The 25,734-nt window shown below is 33.6% G+C and overlaps 1 protein-coding gene across 2 annotated transcripts in view; it reads right to left on the reverse strand.

Annotated features, from left to right (window-relative positions):
* The window catches only part of RIT2 (Ras like without CAAX 2), a 372,459-nt gene that overhangs the window by 156,858 nt on the left and 189,867 nt on the right, over positions 1-25,734 (reverse strand). The window contains exons 4-5 of one of the 2 annotated variants that reach the window (NM_001272077.2): positions 23,488-23,679; positions 20,613-20,676 (exon numbers count right to left, since the gene is read on the reverse strand). In NM_001272077.2, coding sequence (NP_001259006.1) covers positions 20,641-20,676; positions 23,488-23,679 — 228 coding nt within the window. In that variant the 3' untranslated portion in view covers positions 20,613-20,640. The remainder of the gene's footprint in view (positions 1-20,612; positions 20,677-23,487; positions 23,680-25,734) is intronic. The other variant, NM_002930.4, reaches the window with a different exon arrangement.

Genomic DNA, 25,734 nt, shown 5'->3' on the forward strand with positions numbered 1-25,734 from the left:
CAATTAGAACTTAGAGTACGCATTATATGTCTTAATCTAAATTGAATGTGTGATTAAGAAATTTAAGATTATTTTTAATAAGGTGCTTTTCATTCTACGAAATTTAATGCTGTATAATTTTTGAAGAAATTTCTGCTTCTCTTTGGTGGAAGATATTATTATAAAACCTCACATGTGTCAGATATGGTATAGACACTTAATGAGTTTTAAAATTAAAATAATGTCTCTGGGGCTTTTCAGAAAACCTACCTTAGAGTCAGGAATCTAAATGAAAAGTCAGGTTATTAGTCCATGCCATGACAGGCAGACGCAGTCACTTGTTAAAATTAAGCGAATCCCCATATACAAATAATTAGGTTTAGGATATGCCAGGTTAACAATGCATAGCCTCATTGCACTATGCCTTTTTAAAAAAGAGAGAAGCTAAAGAGCTCACAAGAAAATACCTTTTAGTCAAAGGGTTTCTTTTGATGGAATTGGCTATACCTAAAGCCAAAGCATCATACCATCACATCCCTGACTCTGTCTTCTAATACAGGCTTCCTTAAAAAAAAATGTACCCTTAAATAATTCTCTCCCTCTTTTCATTAATATCAGTGTTGATAGTACTTTCAGTAACAAGATATGTGAGGGATAACAGAGATTCAGCTTTGTAGGCTGAGGCAGAAGGGCTTAAGAGGAAAAACTTAGATGTTTGTGAAAGGGGAAAAATATGAATTATATCACAGAGAACATAGTAAGAGACGGAATCAGAAAGCAGGTAAAGCGGGGGTGAATGTTTAACAGTGGCTCTCAAAGTGTGAAACACAGAACTCCAGGCATTACCAAGACTCTTTTAGGAGATCTGTGAGGTCAAAGCTATTTTTATATCACGGTTAAAATTTTATTTGGCTTTTTTTTTACTGTGCTGGCATTTTTACTGATGGTGCAAGGGCAATATTGGATAAAACTGATGGTTCCTTGGTATGAGACAAGGTAGTGGCATCAAATTGAATTAGTACTTTTCTGTTATTTGCTGCCAACTGCTCATAGTATAAAGAATGGCAGTTTAAGAATAAATTTGATGAGACAATAAACATTATTAATTGTATTAGATATTGATGCTTGAGTTCATATTAGTTTAATATTATGTGTAAGAAAATGGGAAGGATGCATAAAGCAGTTCTGCCAATGTACAATTGTTGCCTTGGATTAAAGCACTTGTACAATTGTTTCAGTGAGAAACTGAACTAGCGATGATTTTATGGAACACTATTTTTGTTTGAGAGAATGATTAACAGACAAACCACAGTTATTCAGACTTGAGTACCTGGCAAACATCATCTTGACAATTAAAGAAGTAAAGCTTTAATTGCAAGGGGAACTGACAGCACTTGTGGCCAGTAACAAAATTTGAGCTTGCAAGCAAAAATTAGAATTTTGGAAAATGTGTATCCTCCATCACAGGCTTAAAAATCTCCCAATTATAAAAGACTTTTAGATATATTGCAGTAAAATTAATGAATATGATATTTTGATATTGTACAAATAGATGTGTCACCATTTAAAAAATCTGTATAACTCATTAAATCAATATTTTTTAAAAGTCCAATGCATGATATTATAAAACCATGCTGTTTTGCTAAAAGGTCAATTTAAAGTGCAAGACAGCCCAATAAGTTTTGATGTAGGAGAATATACAAGTTTATTGGCGTGGCTTTAGATTGCACATTGTAACTATTTTTTTAAGCAAACACCACTTGTTGAATTTTGCTGTATTGTCAAAGGAGACTATCCAAAGCTCTCTGGAAAAATATAATAAAATATCCTCCCTTTTCTGAAACCAGATTTTTTTCATATACTTTAACCAAAACATGTTTATTGCAGATTGAATGAAGATGCAGATATAGAAATCCAGCTGTCTTCTTTTAGACCAGGCATTAAGGAGATTTGCAAAAATTATAAAACAATGTCACAAATCACTAATTTTGAGATAAAATATAGATATTTCCCATAAAGGTCTGTTACTAATACAATCATGTAATGAGTACATTGTTAATTTAAATAAAATATAAATATCATTCATAAATTTAAAAATTATACCTTAATTTTTAATTTGATTAATGTCAAAAGGTATGACGCAGATAAACAGAAGCTCTTTGGGGGATTCTCCGTAAGTTTACAAATGTAAAGGAGACGTTCAGAACTACTGGTATTTATGTTTCTTGCCTATAACATTTTTTTTAATTTGTCATGATGGTGATTAGTATATTGGTATGCTGTAAAACCCTAAAGTAAAGCAAATTATTAAGAATATAAATTCAGAAAAGGACAACAGATTGCAACCAGTGAAAGTCCCATAGGGAGCTTCAAAGTTACTGAGGATGTTCTGTTTCTTGGGTATAATGTTTACAGATGTTCATTCTATTATTGTGTACTTTATAATTTACATATATTATTTTTTATATATTGTTTAATCAAGTATTTCAAAATTTTAAAAGATGCAAATAAAATTCTAAATAATAATTTATTGGAAGATGGGAATGGAAAAAAATTGGAGGGCCATTGAGGTATACAAAGCATTGTTTGTCAAGATAAAAACACCTTCAGAAAAAAAATAAATATGTTTGTGGAAAACTGGGGGTTAACTTAATAGAAATATAAACTGTAACTTCCAAACAATAAGAGAGTTAAAAAAGAAACAAGGAATTGTTAACTAATGACAGAAATTAATTAAAAGAAAAAAATCATAAATAGGAAATGCCAAATAAATAAAAATGTATCAGTAATTATAGGCAAATGGATTAACATTGGCTTTAAGTAATTTCATAATATGGGATTTTAAAATTGAATTCTATAAAATTAAAACAAAATGTATTTATATATTATTTACAAGAAGCACAATTTAAATAAAATGACAGAAGATGAAGGACTAGAAAAGATAAAAGAAAAAAGTCAAAAAGATCGAGGAGGCATAAAAATAGTAGAAAAAGAAGTAATTCTGGATATTCAAACGTAATATACTCACATGCTTTTAAAAAATCATCTTGAATATGACACCAACTAAGAAAATTATGAGAAAAAAATGGACAAATTTTCATTCACACTAAGGTGCGATATGTTAATGTGCTTCTTTCAGAATCTGATATAATAAATAAGCCAAAATAAACTCTATGTAATACATTTATTGAAAGATAAGAGAAAACAGGTTAATAGGTTGATAGATAGCTACACTTGTTTCTACAGCCCCAAAATATAGAAGATATTTCATTCTTAAGCACACAAAATATTTGCAGAAGTCGATTATCTAAGAGCTGCAAAGCAATTTTCCATTTTAAAGAGCTGATTTCATAGAGACTGTGTTGTCTGACCACAATACGGCTTAATCAGAAATAAAATATATATGTATAGATACAGTATAAATGCATTTTTTAGTTTGCAAACTAAAAAAATAAAACTTGACACAATTTTTATGCTATTTAGATGAATATACGACATTTATTTACAAAAATATAAATTATCATAATTGCCGCTAGAATAGAAAATCTTCACTTCAATCCATGACTGCTACCACTACCCAATCCATCCCCACAAAAAGGATGATAAATCAAGTCCAGAAACTTTTACAAGCCTTCATGAAACAGATAATGCTGTCTATCACAGAACACAGATCAAGAAGGAAGGCTACTAGACTTATTTTATAAGTCATTCTTACCTTGATGCCAAAATGGACAGGAAGAATCCAACAATGGAAGTATAAGCAAATCTTACTAAGGCATCCTAAGTGAAAAAGCAAGCAAATCAATCAAAGTATTTTTAATCAAAATCAAAGAAGAATTTTTCCTGAAACTAGGCAAATTAATTATAAAACGCATGTGGCAGAAGAAAAGTCCAAGAATTTAAAAGACAATAATAAAAATTAGGAAAGGATATTTGCCCTACAAAATAGCGGTATAAATTGTAATGCTATATTTATTATAATACTATATAGGAAGATAAATAAAATGTATAGTGTTCCTACAAATGGACCCAGGCACATACAAGAATTTCTTTGTATGACAGTGCCAATTAATATCTAATATTTGATCAAGTAGATTTACATAATGGAAAAAAGTACTCTATTTCTATATTGCATCATAAACCAAATAAATGATTAGATAAGCCTTAATTGTCTAAATCCAAAGTTTGAGAGTATTAGAATAAAATGTAAGAGAATATTCCTGTGGCATCAAGCAAAACCCTTTTCAGCAGATACACTATGGGTAGCAATGAGTCAGGACAGATGCCGGCCATGACACTGGAATAGGGTCCCATAAGTCTTTGCAGTGTCAGGTATTAGTCCTAAGCTACTGGATCTTTGGGAATTTAAGCAGTTTCCCAGAGAGGGGCATGAGAGACTAAAGCAGCAGTGATCACTTGGGCAAGAGGGAGGCCTGAGGTCTGGGAGGTAACTGTTAATGAGAGCTACAAGAGTATTTTATAGTTTAACAATGGATGTGCTGTTTCAGTGTGCCCTAACTACATTAGTTCTGGCCTACTGAGGAAGAAATTTGTAGACAAATAACAAAATACAACTCACGAAAGGAAACTGAAATAATAAAGTGGATAAAATAGATGATAGATTGGCATATACACATTTAACATAAATAACAAAGAATTAGTTGGGATATATAAGAAATTTATATTCATCAATTCATACACAAAAGGCAGATAATAATAGAAATTTGGGCAAAATACATAAATAGACAATACACAGAACGGGGCGTCAAAAGAACATGAAAAATTGTCCCACCTAAGTGGCAATCAGAAGAATGAAAGTCAAAACAGAAGGAAGAGATAAAATTTAACATTAGCTGGATGAGCAAAAACTGTAAATTCAATAACTAGGACATAGAAAGATGAATTTTTATTTATCCCAGAGGATGTATACATAAATTAGTGCAATTGTTTTGGAATAAAATTTGTCAATAATCTGTAAAGCTTAAAATCTGCATGCCTTCACACAGTTTAATTTCCCTTCAAGCCATGTCTACAAGGGAAGTTTTTTCACTTGTATTTGAGGAGATGTGCACAGAAACATTCATAATGGGATTGCTGGTAATGCAAAGAACTAGGGGGAAAGTTTAATAATAGATCAATAGATAATTTTAATATATTCATTGTTCGGAATATTATTGTATGGTCGTTTAATAAATAAATTAGATTTGTATATGTTAACATAGATATCAAAATTATAATAATGTGTGAAACAAGAGCAGGGTAAATACATCTATATGGATGTACCTGTATACCTGTAAAACTTGCTGTATATATGTGATGTATTTAAATTTACTTAAATATTACAGTAGGTAAAACATTCTGTATTATATCTAAGTATACATGCTTTTTAAGAAGAGAAAAACATGGTTGTTTGTTTGTTTGTTTTTTGAGACGGAGTCTCACTCTGTCATCCAGGCTGGAGTGCAGTGGTGCAATCTTGGCTCACTGCAACCTCTGCCTCGCAGGTTCAAGTGATTCTCCTGCCTCAGTCTCCCAAGTAGCTGGGATTACAGTTGCCCACCACCATGCCTGGCTAATTTTTGTGTTTTTAGTGGAGATGGGGTTTCACCATGTTGGTCAGGCTGGTCTCAAACTCCTGACCTCAGGTGATCTGCCCACCTTGGCCTCCCAAAGTGCTGGGATTACAGGCGTGAGCCACCGTGCCCGGCCAAACACATGTATTTTTGATATTGGCTATATCTGCTCTAAAAGGATCAGAATCTAGGATGTCGATAAAACTGATGAGATAAAACAGAGTCCAGGTAGGTGGCTGGCTTTAGCAGAACTAGGGATAAAGGCTAAGGAGGAAAAAAAAAAAATATTTATAAGCAATGTTTTCCCATTTATCAATTAAAAGTAAATGAAGCAAATTGAAATATATATATATATGTATATATATATATACATATATATATATATGTATATATATATATACATATATATATCTGCTTATACACTTATTTTTCCAGCAATGTTTTCATTTTAAGCCTTATATCTCTTGACATGAAAGTTTCTTTTTTCAATATTGAATACCAATTTTAAATAGGCAGGGGAGGATATGTTCCTCTGTTTGGGACACCCAGCCATCTTGAATTCCCAAGACATATGCAATTATATGCTCTGCCCATTATTATGATTCTATTTGCCATATGGCAGCAACAAAATAATACAAATTTTCTTTTCTTCTCAAAGTAAAAAATCAAATCTGTCTCTCACAGTGTCTCATCTATACAGACATACATAATACTGAATATGCAGCAAAGTAGAATCATAAAACTGCTTAAATCATATTACATTAATGTTATTTATTACTATGTGGTTTTCTTTATAAGAGATGTTCCCTTTGATTACAATAAAAGGGTCTTTTTTTCCTTGATCCCTTCTAATTCAAACACATTTTAGAGGGAAACAGGGTAATTCTTAATTTAAAAAGTAGCATGATACACTTAAGACACTCTGATGATGCTTTTGAAATTATTGAATTCTAAGAGAAAAGCCACCTTCTATCCAGCTTCTGTCCTGCTGTTCCTAATGATAATTTTAATTGCAGATTATTTTCGTTTTTGGAGCATTACTGATAGATTGGAAACAAATGACATACATCATTAATTGCCATTTATGGAACACTGCCTTTCAAAACCTGTCTTGTCTGCCCCATATCTGTCTGATAATTATGAAAATAGCTTTGTTTCCCTCATTAAGAGAACCAGTAATGAAAACAATACAGCTTTTCCTATTATTCCTTGTCTTTGTACACAACACTCAAGGCCTAGACTAGCCAACCGTCCTGCCTATTGTCTTTCTCTCATTCCTATCATCAACTTCAGAATCTGATGCCTTGGAGGAGGCACTCAGTAATTGTTGAATTGCCTTTTCCTAGCATGGTGATGTTCTGTGGGGTCATTATCTCAAACTTATTGTTTTGCTTATACCTCCCTCAGTGTGTGTTTTATAACAAAAATAAAAGTAAATTATGTCTGTATCTACTGTTTTTTTAAGTCTTCTTTTAGAAAAAATTTGTTTCTGATTTTGTGTAAGCTAGTTTATCCCTTAATTAAGTGCATAGACTAGTCATGTAGGCAGATGTGTCAATAGATGAATACAGTGTGAAAAGTGCATAAGGAAAATCACTGACAAGTGTAGAGGTCACAAGAAAAGGGCACACCAATGTTTGATATTCAGTGACTAGCAAAAGGCATAATATGGCGATTGTTTAAAAGTTCAAAGGGATGAGAAGTAGTAAAATAACTTGGAATGATGGAAGTGGACAAGGATCCTGCTTAGATAAAAGAAGACATTGTAATTTACTCTGTAGACTGTTGAAGGGGTTGAGCACAATGATAAAGACATTTTCAATTTTTACACATGCATTTGGAGAAAAACAAGCACAAAGCTCAAAGCAGAGCAACTTCCTGCCAAAACAGAAAACATAAATAGGATTATGAGTCTCCTAATGTAATGACTAAAATGTCTGGGATGCAATAAAATTCACTGGTACCAAAAACCAGAAAAAATCACAATATGAATGAGAAAAGACAATTATTTGATACCAATATCAAGACTATCCACAGGTTGAAATTATCTGTTAAAGATTTTAGCCAGGTATGGTGGCTCATGCCTGAAATTCCAGTGCTTTGGGAGGCCAAGGCAGGAGGATTCTTGGAGGCCAGGGGTTCCAGACCAGCCTGGGTAATGTAGTGAGACCCTGTCTCTATAAAAATTTTAAGAATTAGTCAGGTGTGATGGCATGTGCCTGTAGTCCCAGCTACTTGGGAGACTGAGTCAGGAGGGTTGCTTGAGCCCAAGATATAGAGGTTGTAGTGAGCTATGATCATCACTGCACTCCAGCGTGGGTGACAGAGTGAAAAAAAAAAAATTAAGGCAACCATCATAAAATGCTTCAATAATCATTATAATTTACTGTAAAACAAATTTAAAAGACATGGAAAATCTCAGGACATAAATAGAATATATAAAAATAAAAAAGAATCTAATAGAAATTGTGGAAATGAAAAACAAAATAACCAAACAAAGAAAAAAAAAAGCAAAAATTTCACTGGATGTTCTTAATAGTAGAGTGGAAAAGACACAGAAAAAAATCAGTGAAATTGAAGACAAATTAATAGAATTTACTCAATCTGAACAACAAAGAGAAAATAGACTAAAAGAAAAAATAAATAGAGATCAAGGGATCTGTGGGACAATAACAAAGATCTGACATTAGAATCATCATAATTTTGATGAAGAAGAGAAATGGAGAGGAGCTAAGAAAGTATTCAAATAAATACTGGCTGAAAGCCTCCCAAATTTGGCAAAACACATAAAGCTACAGATTCAAGAAGCTGAGTAAAACTCAACTAGGTTAAACCTAAAACTACACCAATCACATTATAATTAAACTCTTGAAAACTAAACCCAAAGAATAAATCATTAAAACAGAGAAAACTGCTGCATTTTCTATAAAGAAAAAGCAGGTTTAATGACAGAATCTGTCATCTGAATCCATGGAAGACAGAGGAAGTGATATCAGTTTTATCAAGTGCTGAAAGAGCGGTCAATCCCAAATTGTGTATCTGGTGAAATCATCCTTCATACTGAAATAAAGACATTCTCAGTTGAAGGGAAATTGAGAGAATTTGTTGCTAGCAGATTTATCATTAAAGAGTAACCATAGGACTGCTGGTGGAAATGTATACATAGGTAAGTTGGTGCAAAAATAATTGTGGTTTTGCCATTGTTTTAAATGGCAAAAACCACAATTACTTTTGTTCCAACCTAATAAATTAGTACAACCACTACGGAAAACGGTATGGTGATTCCTTAAAGAACAAAAACAAGAACTACCATTTGATCCAGGAATCCCACTATTGAGTATCTATCCAAAGGAAAAGAAGTCGTTGTATGAAAAAGACACACATCCACACATGTTTATAGCACCACAATTCACAATTGCAAGGATATGGAACCAAACTAAGTGCCCACTGACTGAGTGGATAAAGAAGATGTTGTACATGTACACCATGGTATACTACTCAGCCATAAAAAGGAATGAAATAATGTATTTTGCAGCAACTTGGACAGAGCTTGAGGCCATTATTGTAAGTGAAATGACTCAGGAATACAAAACCAAATATCATATGTTCTCACTTATAAGTGAGAGCTAAGCTATGAGGATGCAAAGGCATAAGAGTGACGTAATGGACTTTGAGGACTCACGGGTTGGACTTTTAGGAGTAGGGTGAGGAATAAAAGAGTACACATTGGGGACAGTGTACACGGCTCAGGTTCATTAAAATCTCAGAAATCACAACTAAAGAACATAACCATGTAATCAAAACACACCTTTACCCCAAAAATTGTTGGAATACATTTAAAAACCCTCCAGTTTTCAAGTTCATATTTTGTAAATTTAAAAATCAAATCACCCTAATACAATAAAACAATTTATTTTCTCAAAAAACAATTATTTTCTCAGGTGACAGTTCCAATAAATCTCAGAAATCACCGCTAAAGAACATAACCATGAAACCAAAACCCACCTATACCTAAAGATTGTTGGAATACATTTTAAAACCCTTCAGTTTTCAAGTTTATATTTTGCAAAGCTAAAAATCAAATCACCCTAATACAATAAAACAATTTATTTTCTTAAAATACAGAATAGCTGAAGGAAACGCTAAACTAAAAAAAAAAATTATAAAAGATGATGACTGGGATCTTTAGAAAGTAAAGAATAGAATGAGTAAAAATTGCTGTAAACATAATAAGACCATCCTTCATTTCATGAGTTTAAAAATTATATTTTATAGTTGGAGCAAAAGACGAACACCATCTGACATGGTGTTCTATGTATGCAAAGGAAATGATTGAGACAATTATACCTGAAAGCGGTTAAGGGGATCTAAATTGAAGTAAGGTTTTTATACTTAACTTGAAATGGTAACACATTGACACCAGCAGGCAACTACTAAGAAAATTATATAAACAGCTATAATGAAAAACATAAATACATCAAAATAGAATTCTAAAACTATTTTCAAGTTATCCACAGTTAGGCCAAGATACATACAGACAAACAATGGCCAATTGAGAAAGAGAAAGCGAAAACAGAAAACAAATAATAAAAAGGCAGACATAGGCCCTAATCTATCAGTAATTATTTAATTTAACAATCTAAACCAATTAAAAGGTAGTGATTTGCATAGTGGAATTAACAAACACCACCCACTTATATGTGGGCTGTAAGAAATCTGCTTCAAGCATTATTGATACGGACAGCAGGCAGGGAAATACTGGGTATAAGAGGGTGGTTTCCTGGCAAAGGCTCCACTGTCAAGCCTGGAAACCCACAACCCTAAATGGGAACAGGCATTCCTGTTTTCCTGCCCAAATGTTGCATTTTGGCCCACAACACCCCGCTAATGTGTACGTATATAAACCCCAGACCCCAGGCTCCAAGAGCAGATGAGCAGAGGAACAGAAGAGTGGCAAAGCGGCAGAGCTGCAGAGTGGTGAGGTAGAGAAGAAGAGAAGAAGCACCTGAATGTTGAGAGGAGTTCAGCTGGGGATAGTTGGAGAGATTGGCTGCGGGATGAGCATACTCCAGGGGATGATCATCTTCCCACTCCATCCCCTTTCCAGTGGATTAATTTGCCAAGAATATAGCAATCCTAAATGTGTTTGGACCAAACAACGGAACTTCAAAATACATAGAGCAAAAACCGATAGAGCAGAATGAGAAAGAAATCCGTAATTATAACATGGGTTTCAAAATCCTATTTTTAACAATTGATAGAAATCAGCAAGGATAGCGAATAATGAAACATTAAACAACAAGATCTACTGACATTTATAGAACACTATAACCATCTACAGCAGAATACATATTCTTTTCAAGCTTACATGGAACATTCACCAAGATAGACTATATCATGGTAATAAAACAAACTTTAACAAATAAAAAAAAATCACACAGAGTATGATCTCTGACCACAATGTATCAAAGAAGAGTATACCCATAACAGAAACTCAGGGGGAAATTTTTCAACATCTTGGGAATTAAAAATATACTCCTAAATAATGCATTGGTCAAATAGGAAATTTCAAGGGAAAATAATACGTAGAGTGGAATAAAAATAAACACAAAATATATTTATAAGAAGACATAAAGAAGAGCTAAATAAATTCAAAACAAGCTGAAGAAAGAAAATAATAAAGATAACATCAGAAATCAATGAATTTGTAAACAGGAGAATAGGAAACTAATAAAACTAAAAGCCAATTCATCTAAAAAAATCAATAAAATCGGTAAACTTTTAGCAAGATTGACAGACATAAATTGAGACAAGACCTAAATCATAAAATCAGAAATGCAATAGAAGACATCTCAACAGATCCATGGGTAACTATATAAGATAGTGAATATGTTAATTTGTTTCACTATAGCAACCATTTTACCATATATACATATCTTACAACATTATGTTATGTGCCTTACATATATGCAAAATTTTTATTGAAACAAATTTTAAAAATGATTACAAGGAAATATTATGAATAACTTTACACTCATCAGTTCAGTAAGGTGGAAGGAATAAAACACTTCTTGAAGACCACAAACTCCTCAAACTCAGCCAAAATCAAATAGATAAATGGAATAGTTCTATAACTATTGAATAAATCAGATTTTTATTTTAAAAGCTTATGCTCAAGAAATTTCCAGGCCCAGATGGTTTCACTGGAAATTTTACCAAATATTCAAAAAAGAGTTAACACAAATTTTACACAATTTCTTTCAAAACCAGAAAAGGGAATACTTCCTAATTCATATTATGAAGCCAGTATTACACTGATACCCAAACCCAACAGGGATCACATGAAATGTAAAAAATGTAGACCAATATATCTGATTAACTTAGATGAAAATAATTCTGAACAAAATTTTATCAAAATATTATAGAAAAATATATATGTATAATAATGCACTATGATAAAATGTGATTTATTCCAGGTATGTGAGACTAATTAAATATTCAAAATGTATTAATGTAGTCCACCATTTCAATAAGCCAAGGAAAAAACTTATTATATCATTTACTACAGAAAAAGTATATTAAATACCCATTCATGAAAAAAAAAAATCACTTTCAGTACATTAGGAATATAGATGAATGTCCCCAAACTTATAAAGAATACCTATTAAAAAAACTACACCAAACATCATAATGGTGAAACATTGAATGCTTTGCTTCTAAGATTGGGCACAAGGCAAAGATGTCTTTCCTTACACTTACAGAAATGATCCTGGAAATTTTAGCCACTGCAATAAGGCAAGGAATGGAAATTAAAGATACACAGATGAGAAAGAAACAACTAAAACTCTCTATTTACAAATCACAAGCTTGTCTGTCTAGAACACCCCAAGCAATATACAATATACTTTGAGGACTAATAAGTTTCTCTCGTGTTCAGTAAGGTTAAAAAATACTACATGAATACACAAAATGCAATTGCATTTCAACATACAGATAAGAAATAATTGGAAACAGAAATGTAATAACAAAAATATAATACCATTTCCATTACTCCTAAGAAAATTACATAGGTATGAATCTAACAGCTACAGTTTTTGCATAATTAAAATTATAAAATGTTGATGAAGAAATCAAAGAAGAGCTAAATACTTGGAAAAACATATTCATGGATTGGAAAACTCAACATAGCAAAGATGTCAATTCAACATAACCAATAGGTTTAATTTAATTTCTTTCAAAATGTCATCGTAGTTCTTTGTAAACATAAAATTACCCTAAAATTAACAAAGAAATATTAAGCATTAAAATAGCCAAAATTGTTTTAAAAAGAAGAAAAACGAGGGAGGAATTATTGATGTTAAGACTTATGTATGTATGCTGAACTAATCAAGTCAGTCTGGTAGTGGCAGAAAGACGGATCAAAGGAACAGAATAGAACATGCAGACATAACTCCACATGAATATGCCCAATTAATTTTTTATAAACTTGTAAAAGCATTTCAATAAAAAGGGAAAAGACTCTTCAATAAATGATGCTGGAGCAATTAACCATCCATCAGCCAAAAAAAAAAAACAAATTTATACAAAAAAAAATGTTCAGAATGGATAATTGATATAAATGTGAAACAAAATGATAGAATTTTTAGAAAAGAACATAAAAGAAACTCATGGGTACCTACGACTGACTAGGCAGTGTTCTGAGATTTGATACCAAAGCCACAATTCATAAGAGGGAAAAAATCAATACATCGAGTTCATCAAAATGTAAAATTTTACTCTGTAAAAGATCCCATTAAAAGACAAACTACTGACTAGAACCAAATATTTCCAAGTCACATATCTACAAAGGGTTGGAATCCAGAATATGCAAAGAACTCTCATAACTTAAACTTAAAAAAGAAACAATCCAACCAGAAAATAGTCAATGGACATAATGAAAATAAAAATAAGCATTATCTTAGGCGAAATAAGCCAGGCACAGAAAGACAAATACTTAATGATTTCACTTATACATGGAATCTAAACAAGTTGGGTTCATAGAAAGAGTAAAAAGGTGGTTGCTAGGGACTGCAGGGAGGCGCTGGTAAGATGGTCAAAGGATACAACATTTCAGCTAGTTAGGAGTAACAAGGACAAGTGATCTATTCTACAATATGGTGGCTGTAGTTATAACAATGTGCAATTCCTTGTAAATAACCAAGAGTAGATTTGAAGTGTTCTCACCACAAAAAATAAGTATGTAGGGTAATGCATATGTTAACTAGTTCAATTTAGCCATTTCACCATGTATAATTTTACAAAACATCATGTTGTACCTGATAAATATATATAATTTTACTTGTCAATTAAAAAGGCAAATAAGAAAAGAAAATGGTCAGAAGCATGTACAGATCCTTAACTGTAGAGGATATTCAGATGACAAATATACTCATGAAAATATGTTCAATATTATTAGTCATTAGACTAATGTAAATTAAAATCATAATGAGATATCACTATATGCTGATCAAAATGACTAAAATGAAAACTAGTGATAATATCTAATGCTGGCAAGGGTGAGAATATAAAATAATAGAGCCATTCTGGAAAATACTTCAGCATTTCCTTTCAAAACTCAAATGGACTTATCATAAGATCTAGCAATTTTGCTCTTGCGCATTTATTCTAGAGAATTAAAAGCTTATGTTCCACAGAAACTTGTGTGTGAATGCCCATAGCAGCTTTCTTCATAATAGCACCAAACTGGAAATTACCCAAATGTCCCTGAAAGGGTGAATAAACAAATTGTGATATATCCAAAGCTGAATGCTATTTAGTAATAAAAAGAAACACACTACTGATAACAAAAACTTGGATATAATTCAGTAAATAATGCTGAGTGAAAAACAATCTCAAAAGGATGCATGTTAACTCATTTCATTTATATAATAATCAAAAATAAAATAATTATATAGATGAAAAATGAGGTAGTAGACTACTAGTTGCCAGAGGTTAGGGGTTGGGATAGGAAGGGGATGAGAAGGGCCTCAGAGTAATGGCAGAGTTGAGTGTCTTGATTATGCTGGTGGTTAAGCAGGCTACACACGTGACATAATTGCATCAAATTATACACATACACACATGCATGAGTACATGTATAACCAGTGAAATATGAATGAGCTTTGTGGATTGAATCAATGTCACTTTATTGTTTTTCATAGTATTCTAGAGTTGCATAAGATGTTAATATTGGGAATGCTAAGAGAAGGATGCACAGGGTTTTTATACACATTTGTTTGTAACTTCTTGTGCGTCTGTAATTATTTCTAAATAAACAATTTGTAAAAGCTGGATTATGTAATTCCCTAAGCATGTGGTTGAGTTAAAGTAAAAAAAAAAAATAATAGTACTCCATGAACACACAGCTAGTGCTCCTGATTCTGAGTATTTGTAGTTCAATCTATGGATATCATTCATTTGGATTTACAGTATTGTCTTGAATTATCTAATGCACCTACATCTATACATATAATTATACACACACACACACACACACACACACACACACACCATGCACTTGATTATCGAGTACAGCCAGAGCCTAACTGCTGAGTGTTGAGGAAATTTTCCACAAATGTTAGGGTTTGGGCAGGCAAGGATACCTGGGAAAGGGTATAGAGACCTGAAATCTTAGATAGGGTAATAAAGAATTTAAAAAACTTTACTCACTCAGTATTTATTTCCTTTTTGGCACCTTTTTGAAGTGACTGGTTAAAAATTACAAAAGGTTAGTTAAGAGTGGTATTGTAATATTGGATTCCATTTCAAGGAACCGATCCAATTCCCCAACAGCTTTGCTTTTTTCTTTTCCTTAAAAAGAAACAAGCTTATTTCCCGAAGCCTTTTCTGGCTTGTCAATTTTACAAATGCAGTCAATGATCCATGAAAACCAAACAATTCAGTGTAAGACAATTTAAATAAAGAGGGAAAGCAAACAGTTACAATGTCAGTTCAATCTGAGGAAACACAAGCTCTGTTCCAAAGAAACATGAAACTATCAAGTGGAAGTCTATTTAGGTGTAGATGTGCAACATAAACGGTGAAATTTAGAATTTTCTAAATGACAAATTTGCCCAAAAACTAGATTGAATCTGTAACACTTTCAACATTGTTGTTTTTAATATAAACATTATGTTTAAAATTATTTTATATTTTAAACATTTGTACATATGCGTGTATATATATATACATATGTTTGTATATATGTGCATATATAGTATATATACACATGTATTATTATGTATATATTACACCATATGTGTATATATATTTTTTTCTTTTAGTTCTCAAATATTTCATTTAAGGCCTTTAAAACACTTGTAGGTTCTATGCTCTTATAGTGTCCCAAAATAAAATTATCCTTCATGCACTTCATTTTATATTCTAGCCCACTGGCTCTCTAACTTTAGCATACTATACTCTAGAATCACCCAGCTAATTTGTTAAAATAGATTGCTGTGCCCTACCCACAGAGTTTCTGATTTACCAGAACTAGGATGGGGCCTGATAATTAGTATTTCTAATGAAGATCACAGGTGGTACTGTCTCTTTTGGTTTGGGGACAACATTTTGAGAACCACAGTTCTCATCCAAGATGAGTTTGTCCATACATTTAAAAATTAGTTTAGCTTTTCTGGAATGGCCAGTAATCTTTTGTATGTGTCTGTTGTCTATCTCCAGATTACTCACCTTTACTTAGCTCATAAACTGTGCAAAAAGGCAGGAATTTCTTCAAGGCTCTCTTAGGCAGATTTCAGTTATTAAAGAATTGCTACTCTGTTTTACAGCTGAAAAATTGGGAAATAATTTCAAATTTAATTTTGCAAAATCCATGTGCGGAAGCCTATATCAGAAAGCTCCCTGGGCCTTCACCCAGATTAGTTACTTTTACTTTTCACACAATTCGTATGCACTTGATTAGCTACTTTTTAATTTGTAAGAGAGTGTATTAGAAGAATAATAACCCAAAGACTATTACAATAATCCAGATGAGGGATAGGGATAGTAGCACCCAGTATTTATTGAGGCGCTACTCTGTGACATACACTGTGCTAGATAACCTACTGACATTATCTCATCTGTCCCACCCAAAAAACAATGACAGAGATATTATCATCCTATTTTACAGACGTAGACACTGAGACAGAGTCTGAAGCGCAAGATGTTTATTAGGAATCAACATTTCTGAAAGGAAGGAGAAGGAAGCAGGGTTGAGCAGAGGGAGAAGTTGAACGTTAATGCAAACCCAACAGAGTCTTTACCAAACTAGTGGGGGCTCCCTAGCAAGATTTGCCTGTCAGTATCTCACATTGGACTGAAATGGCTGGAAATGTATGCCTACACTTAACTGGAAATGAGTTTCCCCAGAAAGGGTGTGACATCAGGCAAGGAGGCTCTATGTAGCTGAGGCTGACCCTTTAAGCACTTGATGGCCGGAAGCTATCTATGAATTATATCTTCCTACTTCTGTGCTGGACAGGAAGTACTTCTCTGAACAACAGGTACAAATCAGTGTCTGTCACTGATTTGTCCAAGGACACAGTAATCATCTGAGTAACAATTCAAACCCAGGACTATCTGATTCTTTCAACTACATCATCTGTTAGTTTCTGTATGCTGCTTACATTTCTTAAAAATGTCATGAGGACTCCATCATGGACACCCACTGGATTGTGTGATAATGCAGTAATGACCTCAGGTATCACTGAGGAATGTAGAAGAATTTGTTGTTACATGAAAGGGCTCTAAACCTCACTGTAATCTTGTCACTTGCCATCCTGTCAGTGTGCAGTATGAGTATGGAATTCGTGAACAGTCAGCAAGCACTATCCCTTTCACTCAAGCTACCATCATTTCTCATTCTGATGACTGAAAGAGCCTCCAAATGCATCTCGCTGCTTCATGGTTGCTCCAACCAACGACAAGACTGACTAAATAGAAATGTATTCATACCACAATTCTGCTCAAATGTTTTAAACAATTGTTGTTCAAACTTAAATAAAATCCAAACTCTTACCAAAGAACTTTTTAGCTCTACATAACCTGACCCTGCCTCCTCACCAGCTATTATGGCTCTCAAACATGCTAAGCTAAATCCAATTGTGAAGATTTTGCAAGTGCTATTTGTTCTGTCTGGAATGCTCTTCACCCAAATCCTCCCCACACTCCGGAGTTGTGCTCAATGCCATCTTTTTAGAGAGACCATCTTGACCACCCTAGAGAAAATACAGCTCTGATTCTTACACTCCACATGCCAACCCCTTCCCTTGCTTCATTTTTCTCCTTTGCCCTTTTCACTGCTCAGAACTGTGTACACATGTGTGTATGTATGCATGCATATTTGAATGTGTATAATTTTATTCCTAGTACCATTTTTGCATTGTGCAGTTAGAATACACATACCCATACTCAAATTGTTCATTGTCTGTCTCCTCCACTGTAACTTCACATTATTGCACATAGAGATATTAGCTGTCAAGTTCATTTGTGTATTCCCAGATTCTGAAAGAGTGCTTGTTACCCATTGGGAAAATGAATTAAATTTAAAAAATGACAGTAGCGAAAACATATATGTGTAAGCTAAGGTAACTCAAATTCCAGTTCTACAACCATCCAGTTTGGATAAATCATGTGAAACTCTTAAGCTTTGTTTTGTTTTGTTTTCTGTCTCAATTGGAGTTAATACATTCACATTTATTTAATTTAATTAAATAACATATTACAAAATGCTATGGAAAAGATAAATAAAGCTAATTAATTGTTAATTGAATTTGGCTATCTATCCCAAAATAATGAGTAAATTACCGAACCTTTTTTTCTCTTCAAAAAATAAGCCCTCATCATTTGGAAAATATGTTTATATAAATTTTCCAATGCACTGATGATGAAAGATAATTAAGCACTACTCTTATTTTTTTAAGTTTGAGTGGTATTTGCAATTAATTACTGCATTACATTATATCCAATATGCTCTGCTACATATTTATGTTTTGTCTTTGATTAAATGTGTCTACAAGGGAGACACTATGAAATTATGCTTAGGACGCTTGATATGTGTGTACTAGGCAGATTTATCTTCCAAGTTTCCCAGTGATCACTCTACTGCTTGTGTACACTCCTAAGACCCAAGGTTTCTTTCTTCCTCTCTAGATTGATCCTTTTCAGTCCTTCCTAAAATAACCGTCACCATTCACCTTATCTTTCTTACTTGGTCAAGATATTCATCCATTCATTCAGTATCTTCGTTCTTCAAATGTGCTACCCACATGGGTCTCTCCTGGTTTTCAAAAAGCATTGCACCTATGAATTGTGCTATATTGTTCAACATGTAATTGTATTATTTAAGGGGGGCTTTCTCCCTACATCATATGCACAGATCCTGAGAAGAACAGAAAGTTCTTGAGGACAGGGACTGGATTACTCATGCCTTTACTATATTCCAAAACCATCACGACTCTCCAAAGATAAATAGATGCTTGATAGAACTCTAAATAGATATTATGCTTTTTTAATCCAGTAATTCCTAATTCTCATGGTTCCAAATACCCCTCTAAGTAAAGAAATGAAACTATTTTAATTAGATATATCACTAAAGAATAAATAAAGGCCTTTCATGATTTCAACTCAGTACTTCAAGAGTTACACAGACTGTGGGAAGCAGAGTTTCAAGGCCTAAAGCTGAGAATTAAGCTGCAATTACACTGTTGGTACCGAAAGGTTTGTCTATCTTCAGGATATCTTCAGGATAAAACAGTTTGGCCGGGCGCAGTAGCTTATGCCTGTAATCCCAGCACTTTGGGCAGCCGAGGCTGGAGGATCACCTGAGGTCAGGAGATCAAGACCAGCCTGGCCAACATAGTGAAACCACGTCTTTACTAAAAATACAAAAATTAGCTGGGCATGATGGTGGGCACCTGTAATCCCAGCTACGTGGGAGGCTGAAGCAGGAGAATCACTTGAAGCTGGGAGGTGGAAGTTGCAGTGAGTGGAGATTGTACCACTGCACTCCAGCCTGGGTGACAGAGCGAGACTCCATCTCAAAAAAAAAAAAGTTTGTGGTCTGCAATTGACATAAAACGTTCTAACCTAGCTCCCAAATCCCTGAAACTTCCTTCACTCATAGACTGCTTCTACTTTGCACAGCCGGTCAGGGTTTTGGAAAAAGAGAAATCCGGGCCTATCTCCTTCTATTCTCCAGTGGGAAGACAGAAGCCTGCATGAATAGGGACAAAGACCTTGGGAGCTCAAGGACCTAATGTTGTTCAGGAATTAAGACAGACTTTAGAATAGTCTGGATAAACTTTGGACAGAATTTTTTGGCTGTTATAAAACACAACTTTCCAGTAATTTTGAAACCCATTTCCTTACTTTTATTTTTCCTCCCACCAAAAGGGTAAGGAAACCAACTTTGGGCTACTACTGGCTTATCCATGGCCTGGAACTGCCCACTCCAAACCCAAAGAATTATTATCCTGATTCTTCCTGCTCCTCCTTGTCCATAAGATGCTACTGCTCTAAGAAGCATGCTAGTATCTTGAAGCTGATATAAAAAAATAAGTTCATGATAAAATGACAATGGTTTGTAGGCCAACCATAAGACACAGTGAGATTTTAAGTCAGAATACACTGGGTTTTGTCTCTCAACTCTAACTAGCTGTGTGACCTTGAACAAGTTATTGAATGTATCAGAGATTCAGTTGACTCATATGTAAATAGGTATAAAGGAGACTACTTCTTGGTCTTGCGGTGAGGATTAAATAAAATCTTGTGTGTAACGTGCCCAGCACAGAGCCTTGAAAACACTAAATGTATCATCAGTAATATCACCATCAAAATGAATATTTTTCACAGATTAAATACTATCCTTTGAATCCTTCCACATTAAAGCTCAAGGAGGTGAATAATGATAAACACATAATACACTAAAACTCGTTGTCTTTTTGTTTTTTTTCTTTTTATCTTTTTTAGAAAGGGCCCTGGGATTTCCCAAAATGCATTAAGAATACAGGCACCTATTCTTACCAAATATGAAAAGAAGCAGCTTCAACCATCAGAATTCTTCCCTTCCAAACTCTTTCAGTGTAGGCTGATAAGGAATAAGAATTGCTTAGTGAGAATCCTACTCCTTTGCCTCTCACCACTAAACAATAGCACCAGTGTAATTTCACCGTTGAGAGTTTAACTTTATCACTCTAGGAATTCTCAGAGAATTCTTTTGAGCTGCAAACCATCCAGGTGTCAGCATCTTTATTTTTCTTTTGAGTCTGCTTTTTTTTTTTTATATGAAGAAACAGAAACCTAACCTTTCAGATACTGATGAACAAAAAGAGTACAATATGACAGTGTTTTAGTCTTAATTTTGTCACTAGCTGCAATAGTTTAGTAAAGTCAATTGCTATCAATATATTCATTTGTCAGATGTCCTCATTCTTCAAATGCTTGGCTTACAAATACACAGAGTGGTTACAAGATAAAAGTGTGAATTGAAATCATTTTGCTCAGAAAAAACCACTCTGCAGTTTTAAGAATAATTATTGCTATCACAACCACAGCCAGAAGCCAAATTTTTACATCAACACTTCATTACTGGAGACAGTGGTACACAAACATTTTTGCAAAGATTGCAATTTGTGTTTTCATGGTTTTCGCACTTTCTGTGACTATCTTGTTTACAGTACTTGCTTTTATCTACAAGGAAAAGACTATCAAATCTGCAAAGTTACTCAACTTAGTATCTTTGCCTGGGTTTTAATTTCAGTGACATTTGTAATGCTTGCAATTCACTTCACTGCTAATCTGAAAGGAGCAGCTAATTAACCAGGCTGGGATAGGGGTTCTGATAAACATGCCTTTGTGAGATCCTAAGTATCACCTTTGAGCCTGGTAAGACAGGGCCTGGAGAGTGAAGGAAAAGTAAATGTCAGCCAGCTTTGGAGTCATGAAGAGCAATCATTGTAGAGAAAGTTTAGTTGATTTTTGGCCTGAAAAAATGTTTCCTGAATGTTTTCAAATTCACTAGTTTTTCAGAGTCACTTATAGCTTTCCTAACTGAAACCCTGTCAGAGGTTTTTGTTCTCCAGGAATTCTTAGAAGTGCAACAAAAATGGGCATATGATCACTTGGTGGCACATTTAGGGTGCTTTGTCACACTAGTTCCTAGAGGCCCTAAGAAAAGTAAAGCACTAGCACTCTTCAGAGGAGTATAGGAAAGGTTCAGCTACTAAGCCTCCAACTTTCTTCCTTTCTGCCAAGTTATCTAAAATAGATTATATTTAACTGATGAGATAAACTTGAATTCTTAACCCATAGAAATGCAACATATCATGCTGAACATGTCTTTGGAGAAAGAGAAACAGCAAAGTAAGACAGCAGAACAGTTGCAGAAGAGATGAACAAATATTACAGTTCCTAAAACAATAATTAGCTGCCATTTTAAGATGCTTAGATTCTCAAGTAAAATATACAAAAATATCACCACAAAAATGCATTGCACTAAATCATAGAAATACGTTCCCGGTTAAACATCAACTTGTAAACATGGACTCTGTATGAGATCTTTTCAATTTAAGAAAACTTAAAGCATATTAAGCATGAAAATTCATATTTATAATACCCTTAAGATAGGAGACAACTATTTGTTTTAGTGAAGATTCCTACGTTAGTAAAAGGTTTTACTAGTTGACTAATTTAAATAGGCTAACAATAAATCATTAGCTGGAATAACATGAACTATTAAAAGCCAGTTCAAATTTAAGGTCAACGAAAAGAAAGATGAAGCATCTCAATTTATAACAAAGCAACTCAATTTAGAAAATTAGATTTACAAAAATTTGATTTGCATGACACTTCTCAGTAATGTTACTTTGTACAATGTGAGTCATGGGAATGGAATTGTGATATGATTTGCCTGATTCTTGAACCAGGGCAACTGATTTATCATTACTATCTTGAGATCTCAGGGAGGAAGCCATCATAGTTCGGCCATCTGTTATTGCCCAAGAAGTAGTGTCTGACCAGAAGAGAAGAAAATATAATGAATGAACTATGTAAGTTACGGTAATGGATCCCAGTCTAAGCTAGCCACAGTTTCTTCCTTATCAATTTTGTTTGTTCGGAGAAGTTTTGAGACTCTCTATTGATCACATTGATACAGCAGATGCAGCCTGAAGGAAATGGATGGTATATAAGAGTAATTTCTGATGCAACCTGAGAAGTAGTGGCTTGTTCTAATTCTGGAAGGAGGGAAAGATTCTGTTTTGATCATCTATTGCTGCATGAAAAATTACCCCCAAAACATGGTAGCGTAAACAATTTCATTTTATTTGCCACTGATTCTCTAGGTCAGAAATCCAGACAAGGCTTACCTGGGAGATTTTCGTGTTCTATGTGGATTGGCTGGCTATGTTATGAGGTTACAGTTACATGGTGGCTGGTGCTGAAACATGCAAAGTGGCTTTGCCCACATGTGTAGTATCTTGGCAGGGACAGCTGTGAGCCTGAATCTCATTTTGTCCACATGACTATCTTCTCATGGTTAGCTTGGGCTTCTTTACTTGAACTCAAGGGTAAGCAGTTCAAGCGGCAATGGCAGAAACTGCAGAAATCTTAAGGCTACACTTCAGAAGTCAACAAGAATCATTTCTACTGTATTCAGTATACAATCCCAGATCCTAGGGGATAGGGCACTAGTAAGGGCACTCTGCAAAATAGCATATGTGGTAAAATATATTATGGAGGCCAACACAATTTACCATGGGACCACCATGACTTATTAGAAAAATCATGTGCATAATTTCTTTCTCATAATTTTCAGTGTGAACCTGGGAAAGCAGCCATATTTTGTACTATGCATCCTCAGAGCAAAAGACAGAAGCTACCAGATAAAATCGGCACTCACCTGGCGGAACTGTTCCAGATCAATTTTGTTACCCACCAGCACCAGGGGAATTTCATAGGTGTGGCGGACCTGAAAAATGAGCTCTTTAAACTTGGCAGCCTCCTGAAATGATTGACGGTCAGTGACGGAGTAGCAGATGATGAAGCCTTCCCCACCTCGCATGTACTGCTCCCGCATGGCTGTGAATTCTGCCTGCAGGAAAAAAAAAAAAAAATTAGTTATGGGCTTTCAATATAGCTAATTAATATGAGGTTTAAATGTAATCATTATGAAATTTGAATGTTTTAAACTATTAAGAATATTGATATTTAATCATAGGAGATTTCATTTATGAGATCTTAGAAAAACATATTAAACAGCAATTTTTACTTATAGACTCTTAGGGATTATATAAAGATGATTTTTTTTTAATTTGTAATGACCTCACTTTAAGAAAATGAATCTAAATGTTTATACTCTAATCATTAAATTTATTTGAACCCAGGCTAGATATTCTTTAAATTACATATTTCAGATATTTTCTCACTCCCTATTTATTGGAACCAATTTTCTTTTCTAGAAACATTGAAGAAAAAAAATTGTATAATCTAAGGAAGTTGGCTTCACTTTGCAAATGAAAGTTGGTTTGTATAGGGGATTTGCCATACGTCTGCCAAGGAATCTGGGGGAACAAATTTTTCTACTCAAAAATATGAAAATGAATTAGAGTTAGACCTGGTTTTCCTTGTGAATGGAAAAAGTTATTAGCATTGATAATTCCAGATCCAGTTATTTGTTTGGGTATTAATTTGTCTCATGAAGGTGCATAAACAGAAGGATCTGGATTGCTGAGGGATGGATCAGTTTCTACATTCTGCTGACTCTTTCATCTTCTTTCAACTACAACTTCTCGGTGACTGAAAATTCAGTATTTGTTCTGAATTACAATTTGGAAACTTCTTTTAAGTCTAAAATATCTGTTTTCATTCACTTTTATTCTGAAACTACTGTTAAAATGACAATGGCTAATTAGATAGAAGCAATGAAAAATATGAAACTTAACTTCTGTTGGTGGAATAAGCAATGAAAGAACAAAAGAGCATATTGTGACTTGGACAGTTTGTGCTATAAGTAATCAAAGCAATAAAATTTTAGGTGGGTTTTAACTGTGTTTGAAGAATTTGAGAAAATGGGACTTCTTTACCTAGCAAAGTGTTTATAAGAACTCACAAAATGCCCTACTCAGAGTAATTGTTTAAATAAATGTCAATTTGATTTACGCTAGCTTGAAAGATGGGAGCATTTATGTAGATCCAGGAACTTTGGAAAACTAGGGTGGTTGCAAGTCCAGAGAGTGATAAAGCTAATAAATTCCTGAGTTAATAAGTGAATTTCACCAATCATTTGCAGTAAATATGGAATAAATGCAAACGGCTTTTGCATCGGTTTCAAGCAATCATTTCTAAGTTGCAAGAACTGGATCACAGACGTGACAAGAGACTTGTCCAAAGACCAACAGCAACATGATATAGAGTTGGGTCAAAAAACTCATGTTACCTGACTCACACTGTATCATATTACTTAGCATTAATTTTTATTTTAACTCAATCCTAACTTTCACAATGTGAGTGAAATGTACTAATATGGGAGAAAAAATATTCTATTGGATCCATGTTTCATTCCTGAACCAAGATTGAGTAATAAAATATCTGGGATCCCTCATAGTTCTGACATACTCTGATTTTGAAATCCTATGTCGCAATCAAAACCCCATAATTGACAGGACTTGACTAGAGAAGTATGGACTGAAAATGATAACATGTTTCTCAAACTCATAATTACATTTCTTTGGAAAAGAAATTATAAAATCATCTTAGAAATATGTTTGATCTTTAGGAAAACATAATTAGATCTGTTGTGTCAGTTGTATATGATTAAAACAATAATAAAAATGCAAGCTAAAATGGAAAAGATCCATTTTACAATTTAAAGTTTATGCTACTTTCTGATTATTATTTTCAGTACTAAAGTTTTTGATTTTCAATCGTCTAGTCCTTTTTGAAAATTAACAAATACAAATATTAGCAAAATATTTAAATGGTACAGATATATCTAGTACTAATTTAGTTTTCTTCTCACCTCAAACTTCTAATTTTTCTTTTCAAATGCATCAGTTAATAGCTTCTTTAACTTTACACTACTGTCTGTGTACATACAAGCATATACATATTCCTTCTTCCTTTATACATCATTCTAAACTCAATGGGA

Source organism: Homo sapiens, chromosome 18 (genome assembly GCF_000001405.40).
Source record: "Homo sapiens chromosome 18, GRCh38.p14 Primary Assembly".
NCBI classification, from domain to species: domain Eukaryota; kingdom Metazoa; phylum Chordata; class Mammalia; order Primates; family Hominidae; genus Homo; species Homo sapiens.